Below are 10,028 nucleotides of genomic sequence, written 5' to 3'. Positions count from 1 at the left end.
AGGGCTTAATTCTAGGGTTTTTAATCATCTTTGCTCTTCAGTCTCTTCTCATCCAATTTCATGACTTTACCCCATATGGATGACTCTCTAATCAATAGCCTAAGCTCTCACCTGTCTCTATTGCATCCACACTTTCTTATTCAACCATGTGCTCAACAATCTCACTTGGAAGTCTAGTAGGCATGCCAACTTTCATATAGCCAAAAATGAGGTGAAAAGTTGAGTGAAGACCCATTTCAAAATGTCTTTTTGTATCCCAGTAAAGCTAGCATCATCATTCTGTTGTTCCAACCAAAAACCTAAAAGTTATTCTTCTCTTTCACCCCCATATCTGATTTGTCAACAATGCCAGCCCATTCTACCTCCAATCACATATACCCCAAATCTGCTCAGTTATCTCCAGCTCAATGACACCAGCCTAGTCACTGACATACTCCTCTTGCATGACTGCAGTCATCTCCTGTTTGCCTCCCTGCCTGCACACTTGTCAACTGTGTCTGCATTTTCTATATTCTAAGATGTACATTTTTTTCACATGTAACACTTCTGAAATTGGAATGCATTTTACAATCAGTTGATGATACTTTAATATTGCACTAGTTCTTTTTTTCCTTTCAAATTTTAACATCTCAAAAACAAGAGTGGCTATTATAATCAATTGTATCTTAATTTTGATGAAATATATGGTGTATATATCCTCCACACCAATGTAAGAATAAAACATTTAAAATGAAAATCAGATTGTGTCTCTCTCCTACCAAAACTGCTCCAATGGCTTCCCACTGCTCTGAGAATAAATAAGAAAATAAAACAAAATATAACCTCCTTAACATGCCCTATGAGGCCCTTTGTTATCTGACCTCTGCATAGTTCCCTGACTTTATGATACTTCCACACACCCAAAGAGTCTTCATGGCTCAGCCACATTGGCCTTCATTCAGTTATCTTGTGGGATCACATTGGCCTCCATTCATTCATGGAAACTGCCAAGCCCCTTCCGACCTTGGGGAGTGCCTTTCTTTGCTCTTTTATCATTTTAAATCTGGTTCTTCATGTCAGCCATGTCCTAATGCACGTGTGGCCTTCTTGGCCACGTGTTAAGTGTAGCCACTTTTCATCATTCTTCTGGCAAGTGTTGTTTTCTGCACAATACCTAATACTCCATAAATTATTTACTTACTTATTCATTTGTGTATTGACTTTCTTCTCCATGAGGCGGTAACTACATGATGAAGGGGAAATTTTCTGTTGCATTGCCTGATCCAACATGCCTAGAACTATGTCTGGCCAATAGATGAAACTAATAATGCTTGTTGACTCATTTATAAATAAAATAGATAACTTTCTTGAATCCTTGGAAGCAAGCCTGTAAAAAAATTTATCTTTGGAAGACAGCATGTTGTGTTGAAAAGGAGAGCTAAGAAATGTGGCTTCAAGGTTTATCACTGCCAATCACAAGTTGTGTGATATGTGCAAGTAACTGGATCATCTAAGTCTCCACTTTCTCATGCATTAGTTGGGGAATTGTGTTATTTAATATATCTCCCAGTTGAGCTAACAGGAGAATAAAATGAGATGGTGTGTATACAAATTCACTGACGTCATTCACAAAGCACATTTCATGTTATCACACTATCAGTCTCCATTGAATGTCATATCCATTGTTATATGGAACTTTATCTCCACCATGTCAGTATTCAGCAGACAAATATAAACTCAAAGTGCACCCAGTGACCAGACTTCAGTTTTTAGTACCATTCTCTAATAAAAGGAATGAAGATTCCTCAGAGAAATGGCTGATTCTAGGGCTGGGGCAGGGAAAGTTCAAGGCGAACCAGCAGCCTCTTACAGTGCCGTACGTTAAGAAAGGGCTCAAAAAAACACAAAACGATGGGGGCATATCATCAAAAGGTCACAGGAGCCAGCTGAAAGAGCTCCCAATGGCCAAAGCTGGAACTACTTGAGCAATACAATAAACAATATAGTATTGATTATAAGCCAAAGTATAAAATAAAAATGCATAATCCATACTAATATAAATGAGTGAATAAATGAGGAAAAAGAGACAAATTATTTTACTGAAGAATTATAAATAATATGTATAGTTATCTTCCCTGTAGGAAATAGAGCTTTATGCCCTCCCTGAACCACACACGACTGAGTACGAACTAAACTCAGTGACCCACTTCCAAAGAGGGAAAAGAGAAAACAAAGCAACTTTAGAAACCTGAAAACACCACCTTGCCAGGTAGGTCATCAAGGTGAATATCTCGACAATCTTACGTGAATGCCACATATCCTTTCATATGATGGGACAAGAACAGCTTTGCACGAAGGACTTTGCACAAGGGGCTTTTGGGTGTCTTTTTCCAAAACTCTAATCACGAGAAACATCAGAAAATTCTAAATTGAGAGACAGCTCACTAGATAACTCACCAGTCATCCTGAAAACTGTACAGGTCTTAAAAAAAACAAGGGAAATGTGAGAAAGTGTGGCATAGACCAGAGGAGACTAAGGAGACATGTTGACTAAACACAATCTGGGAAACACGTGAGAGGAAAAGCTGGTGACATCCAAATAAAGTCCGGAGTTTGGTTAATGGTAACGGACCAATGTCCATTTCTTAGTTTTGACAAATGGACCATGATCTGTGAGAGGATAACAATGGGGGGAGGGGGGAATTAACAAGCTCTATGTGAGTATTTTAAAATAAATAACATTTCTAGAAAATGCCAGTCACTGGGCTCGGTAATTGACATCCAAAAAAGAGACTTCCCTCCCTCACCAAACTCCTATATCACGAGGGTTGGCACTGTGCTTAGCTAAAAGCCTGTCTTTCCCATTCTCCCTTGTGGCTCCTAGCCGTCTCTCATAAGTCATGGCCACGCAGCAAGATGTGAGCCCACATTATTTGGAGGAACTTCCAGGAAGTTTTGCAAATGAGGGACAGAGAGCTGGGGAAAGCCACTTTTTAGACTTTTTCTTCTTCCTCTTTGTAGCTGCCTGGGATGTGGATAAAAAGGCTAAAGTTTCAGGAGCCATTGTGCATCATACAGTGACCCTAGAAAAGGAAGAGTGATGCTGAGAATAGAACAGCAGAAAGATAGAAGGAAGCTGCATCACATAGAACTGTGCCGGGCTGCCACGCCAGCTCTTAGCTGGCAGGCTCAGTCTTGCTGTAACACGTGGGTAATAAGGAGTCTGACTCTATGTTTTGATGTCTGACTGCTGACAGCTTTGAAGCCCCATCCTTCCTACTTTGCTCCTGCCTATATCTTCACCGTCTGATAGGAAAGCCTCAGTCCTCCCACTTTCAGCCTCTGCCTGGAGATGCAAACCATGCAAGCCTGTGTCTGTGTAGGAACCTTCACTCTGGCCCCACCCTGAGCCAGAAGAGAAACCCAGGCCAGTCGCTATCCTGGCTCTCAAGCCATTTCCAGCCTGCTTGAGAGGCCTGCCCTGCTCTCCTAGAGACCTCAGTTATATAAGAAATTAGCCTTTCCACACCCTTTGTTTAGCTTTATTAAAATATTCTTGACAAATAAAAATTTTGTATACTTAAGGCACACAATGTGATGTTTTGATACAAGCGTTCATGGTGGAATGGTTACTATTATCAAGCCCATTAACATATTCATCACTTATCAAAGTTAATTGTTTTGTGCTAAGAATACTTAAGATCCCCACTCATTTCATAAATACAGCTATAATCACCATGATATTCGTTTGATCTCCAGAACTTTTTCATCCTGCGTTACTGAACCTCTGTACCCTTTGTCAACATCTTCCTTTTCTCCTCCCTTTGCCGCAGGCAACTATCATTCTACTCTCCGCTTCTGTGAGTTTGCCTTTTTTAGTTTCCCAGATAAGTGAAATCAAACCACATTTGTCTTCCTGTGCCTGGCTTATTTCACCTATGTCCAAACCCGCCTGCTGTGTGTGTGGCATCATTAGCCTCAAAATCTGAACCAAACTTTGGGTGGGGCTCCATCTACCTCTGCTGGTGACCACAATAATGTATTTTTCAGCCACTTGGCATTTTGGGTTTCGAAGATAAGTAACTTGTGTATCTCCTGATACGCACCAGACATGCACATTACCTCATTTTATTATGAAGAAAACAACAGTGAAGTAAATACTTATGGCAGACAGAATTCTAAGATTCACTACATATTCTCTGCTCCATGATAATCCCTTCTCCCTTACTGTGGACCAAACCTGCAACTTGCTTCTAAACAACAGAATATGGCAAAAGTGAAGGAATCTTAACAGATGTAAAGTCCTGAATCAGTTGACTTGTTATTGAAAAGGGAGAATACCAGGAAGCTAAGTTTGTTTGTTAGTCTGGAGGTTTAGACAGTGGAGAACCTTCCCTCCTGGTTTTGTTTTTTTTTGTTGTTGTTTTTTTTTTGAGATGGAGTCTCGCTCTGTCACCCAGGCTGGAGTGCAGTGGCACGATCTCGGCTCACTGCAAGCTCCGCCTCCTGGGTTCACGCCATTCTCCTGCCTCAGCCTCCGGAGTAGCTGGGACGACAGGTGCCCGCCACCATGCCCGGCTAATTTTTTTTTGTATTTTTTTAGTAGTGACGGGGTTTCACTGTGTTAGCCAGGATGGTCGCGATCTCCTGACTTCGTGATCCGCCTGCCTCGGCCTCCCAAAGTGCCGGGATTACAGGCGTGAGCCACCGCGCCCGGCCCCTCCTGGTTTTAAAGATGTGAGTTGCCTTGTGGCTAGAGGGATCATGAGAGAACCACATGGCCAAGACCGCGGGGGCCTTCAGGAGCCATTTGCAGGCCCCAGCTGACAGCCAGCCATCAAGTGGGGGCCTCAGGCATACAACCAAAAAGAAACAAATTCTGCCAACAATCGTGTGACCTGGGAAGAGGACCTCAAGCTCCAGATAGAAGCCGGCTCAATTGTCACCTGCATTTCAGCCTTTTGGGAGCTTGAGGAGAGGACCAAGTTTACCAGATGTACCCAGAATTCTGACCCACTGACACTGTGAGATAATAAATGTTGTTGGTTAATAACCACTAAGTTTGTGGTTATTAGTTATGCAGAATAAAAAACTTAAGCAATACTAATATTATTTTCATTTGAGATATAGCAAAACCAGGAATTAATGGAGAACTTTGTAATGTCCTTATGAACACTAATGTTAGGAGAAAGTGCTGGGATTTTGAAATTGCCTTTGAAAAAATTATAACAGTGATCATTTGAAAAATTATAACAGTAAGAAAGATCTGACCTAACCGACTCTTTGCTTCTAACCTCCAAGCTGCCCTTGTTCTAACTTTGGAAGGAACTCAGTTTGTATTTTGACTTTGAAACAAAGATGATAACAGCTTTTTCCCAAAACAAACCTCCTTCCTGCCTGGGAACCAGACTGCCTTTATAGGACTAACAAATTAGGCACAAGATCTGCAAGTTCCCTAATTACTCCTGCAGATAACATCACTGTTGCAGAACCTAAGATTAGCCTTTTGAGATATCTTTTCAGGATTTTGCATTTCTGATCATGAATGGCTCCACTCCAGACTTGCTCACTGGTCCTGTGGCCCCCACCCAGGAACCCAGTCAGTGCAAGATGACAGCTTTGACTTCCTATGATTTCATCTCCAACCTGACCAATCAGCAATCTTTACTCCCTCTGCCCCTACCTGCCAATCTATCCTTTCAAAATCGTAGTCTCCAAATTTTCGAGGAGACTGATTTCAGTAACATAACTCTGGTATCCTATTGAGCTACCTCCACATGAATTGAATTCTTTCTCTATTGTAATTCCCCTGTCTTGATAAATCGGCTCTATCTGAGCAGCAGGCAAAATGAACCTGTTGGACGGTTACAATTGGAACCCAGGGATGTCTTACTTCAAGTCCATCCTGTTTAGCACTGTGTTATTCTACCTTTCTGATTTGCATATCAGTAAATTCTGAGATCTTCTGGAAAATAAACCAAGTCTTATTCAACTTTGTATTGTCTATGACACTCACACTGTGCTGGATTTTTAGTAGATGTTCGCTAAATTCAATGCACAGTTTTAGAAATATGGAGCATCACAGACAAGCAGGCTAATTTCCAATAGCCCAATAGTCAAATCTCATTCATCTTATCAGGACCTCTCAGAAAAGTTTTCAGAGACAGATTTGTTAAGGTTAAGCACTTTTTATCTGTTCTTAAAGTGGGCGGATATTTTACATGCAAAATTAGACTATGACATGAAATTTTCACAAAGCTTTTCATTTTTGCTTAGCTCTGTTGCCTGACTGCACAATCTGAAATTAGATTTGTTCCTTTTGTGTGCATCCCAGGCTGTCATTTCCATGACAATTATTCACTGTTTCATTTTGAAGATCCATCTATTCTATCTCATTGAGAGTTGGTTCTATTTCCATTTCTACTGTTCTGAGCAACATCATTTGAAAATAACCACAAATTTGAATATTCAAGGTAGACAAGGGAATATGGTCCTACATTATACCTCTTCTTATTAAATAAATGCCATGTTGGTAGCTGATAACATTTGAATATTTGTTCCCTCCAAATCTCATGTTGAAAAAGCAATCCTCAGTGTTGGAGATGGGGCCTAGTGGGAGATGTTTGTGTAGTGGGGGTGGAGCCCTCATGAATGGCTTGGTGCCTTCCTTGTAGTAATAAGTGAGTTCTCATTGTATTCATTTCCAGGAGATAAGATTGTTAAAAACAGCCTGGCATCTCCTCTCCTCTCTCTTGTGCCCTTGCTCACCATGTAACACACCTGCTCCCCCTTCTTCTTCCTGTATGATTGAAAGCTTCCTGAAGCCCTCACCAGAAGCAGATGCTAGAGCCATGCTTCTTGTCTGCAGAAGGCAAATAAACCTCTTTTCTTTAAAAATTACCTAGATTCAGGTATTCCTTTATTGCAATGCAAATGGAATAATACAATAGCATATAGACTAACCAGAAAATATGAGGCCATAATCTGATCTATTTTTGTGGATAATTCTGACCAATGTATCTCCCTGCCTTACCTCAACTCCTCATAAAATAGCACCTGGGCTATTGCAACTACCTCTTCCTCCCTGACATTCCATAGTTATTCTACTCTGTCTGCTATGTGGTTTACACTGTCACCACAAAATCACTTAAAATGCAGACCTAATGTATTTCACGAATCACCTAGGAGTTGCATGAGATCAAGTACAGCCATCTCTAGGTTTGCTAACAATTATACCCTGGGCACCAAGCACCATGCCTGGTATGAAATTGGTAGCTAAATAATATCTACTAAATAAATAACTGAATGTATACATGAAAATTACTCTTAAAACCCCTCAGCAATTTCTATTTATGCTTAAATCAGGCATCATTTTCATTCTGGAATCTTATCAAATGCCAAATATTTTTATTGGCATATATATTTTATTTCCTATTATTAGTTGTGGATGATTGGATAGATGGATGGATGGATTAATGAATGAATGGTGGATGGATTTGGGGCAGAAGCTTTTGCTCCTTTAATACAAACTCATCGAGAACAATGACTAAATTATGAAAAAAATGAAAAAGTTCAACTCTTTCCTTCACTCTGCATGGACATTTGCAGCTTAGAGATCATAATTATCCTCATTTTTTAGCCCCAAATCACTGTCATGGTGAGTCATTTTTACACAATAAACACACAACTCCCGTGCGCTGTCACAGCCTGACTAGATGATAATAGGATGATTCTAATGATGAAGATTACACTATTACTTATCAACGTCTTAGATCTCTTTGAAAAAATCTTTGCAAATATCATCTCACTGAAATTCTCACAAAAGCACTACAAAGTGTCGGTAATTATGCCCATTTAGGAGATGCAGAAATCAAATCTAAGAGAAGTTTCATCATTGGCTCAAGTTTATATAGCTAATTACCTAGATGCCAGAGCAGAGGCAAGATCTTAAACCAATCTCTGCTGCAGCTCTCAGTTCTTTCCATAATGCTATCAAGCCCTGATAAATCAGACAATGTATAAAGAAAATGGCGGTCTACAAGATAAAACACATGTACTAATAATATATGCTTCAGCAATGTTTTTCTTCTACAAATCCAAGGATTTTCACATCTCTGTGTCATTATGATTGCTACCTTTCCTCACACCTGGACCCATTTGCTTCATGCCTGGTTATTACATGTTGGTGGCATTCCATGTCAGAAACTGGCCTCTGACCTGCTCTCTCATCCTCATGTCAGAAGGGAAAAGGTCATGTCTTAGTATTTGTTATAAATAAAAAGCAGCATAATGTATCAATGATAGCTTGGGTTCTGAAGTCAGATTCCTGGGGTAAAATCTCAAGAATCTGCTAACTTAGTCATTTTATCACCCTGAACTTTGTGTTTTCTTATCTTTAGAAGAGAACAGTAACCATACCCAAAGCAATAAGTTATTATGAGGATTAAATATACTGATACATATGAAGTGACAGAAGGATTCAATCAAGGTGAACTACTTTTATTTTTACAGACAGACGACCTCACTGATAGTATTTCTGTGAAGTTCTACTTTGTTTTTCTTTTAAGCCATTTGCATAAAGTGATACATTTGTCAACAATATTCATTTGACATCTTCTTGGCTACAGATGAAAGAAGATGGAGTTAGACAATTACCTGTGACAGCAAGCTCTTCTGTTGACAGATCCTCAGATTTATTGCTCATTTCAGGCCATGTGTGCCCTGGTAACCATCTCCTTTTCCAATGCCATGCGCCCAGAATTAAAGCAATGAACATGATAAACAGAAGCTCAGCTTGTTTTTATAATGACAGAAAGATCCAAATGAGCCTTTGTCTCTTATTAAAATCAGCAGATTTTGCCCTAGAGTATTAAAAGTTTTAATCCAACATTCTGCTTGCCTGCAGGCAAGGCATTCTGTTAGGTAAAATAAAAACACAACATTTCAAGCTCTGCTCAGAATGTGATAAATCAAGATTTTAAACAAAAATGACAAATGTTGTTTCTTTTCATAAAAGTAATTTTGAAGCCCAACTCTGTAATTGCCTCTAGATATCTTATTTCTTCATGTACACTTTCTAAGAAACCTCAGAATGTGTGTCTCATTACTAATAAATTTTAAAGACAAGCTCAGTTATCCCCTAAAATACAGACTCATCTATTTCTGGTGAAGGACTGTATGAGCTTGATGATTTACTATTTACTAAAATCACAGTGGAGAAAATTCAACTTGTTTACTCTCAATTAAAATTAACCGAATACACCTTAAAATCTTTTCTTTAAAGTTCTTTCTTGAAAATGCAAAATCTCCCAAATTGTTGGTCAGCTGAGAAATCTAAGGCATAGCATCAAGATGAGACTGCTGGCGTTCAAATGCAAGCTGAGTAACACAGCAAGAGTCTCCATCTCCCTCTGGAATACATCATATATTCACCTTCAATGATGGACATTTCTGAAGACTTGGGAATTGATCTAAAAACAATAACGGATCCACCTGGTATGTGTCTAACGGGAGAAAACGGGAAAAAGTCCAGTCTCCCCACGTTTAAGACAACCCTTAGTGGTCCCTCCCTTCCTCTACCATGGGAGAGTCATGTTTGACTCCTCCCAATAATAAGCAGCAGTGCTTGCATCCAGCATCAGGCAGACTTGTCCTTACATGTGGATGCTTTAAGAATCATTTCTGGCCGGGCGCGGTGGCTCACGCCTGTAATCCCAGCACTTTGGGGGGCCGAGGTGGGCGGATCACGAGGTCAGAAGATCGAGACCATCCTGGCTAACACGGTGAATCCACGCCTCTACTAAAAGTACAAAAAAATTAGCCGGCTGTGGTGGCGGGAGCCTGTCGTCCCAGCTACCCGGGAGGCTGAGACGGGAGAATGGCGTGAACCCGGGAGGTGGAGCTTGCAGTGAGTCGAGATTGCGCCACTGCACTCCAGCCTGGGCGACAGAGCGAGACTCCATCTCAAAAAAAAAAAGAATCATTTCTGCAACGTAATTAAAAGACTAATCTAAAACATGAATTAATAAAGCAAATAAAGTGTCAGCATC

General features: G+C 40.2%; 1 annotated feature.

The window, feature by feature from the left end:
- Positions 9,268-9,767: an enhancer, noted in NCBI's record as "H3K4me1 hESC enhancer chr20:53530679-53531178 (GRCh37/hg19 assembly coordinates)". NCBI's record gives its function as "activates a minimal SCP1, AML or CMV promoter by ChIP-STARR-seq in primed H9 embryonic stem cells {active_cell/tissue: H9 hESC(primed)}" and the evidence as "EXISTENCE:reporter gene assay evidence [ECO:0000049][PMID:30033119]".

This window comes from Homo sapiens, chromosome 20, assembly GCF_000001405.40.
Source record: "Homo sapiens chromosome 20, GRCh38.p14 Primary Assembly".
In the NCBI taxonomy this organism is placed as follows: domain Eukaryota; kingdom Metazoa; phylum Chordata; class Mammalia; order Primates; family Hominidae; genus Homo; species Homo sapiens.
The sequence above is the reverse complement of the archived record's forward strand: the minus strand, read 5'-3'. Positions and strand labels throughout refer to the sequence as shown.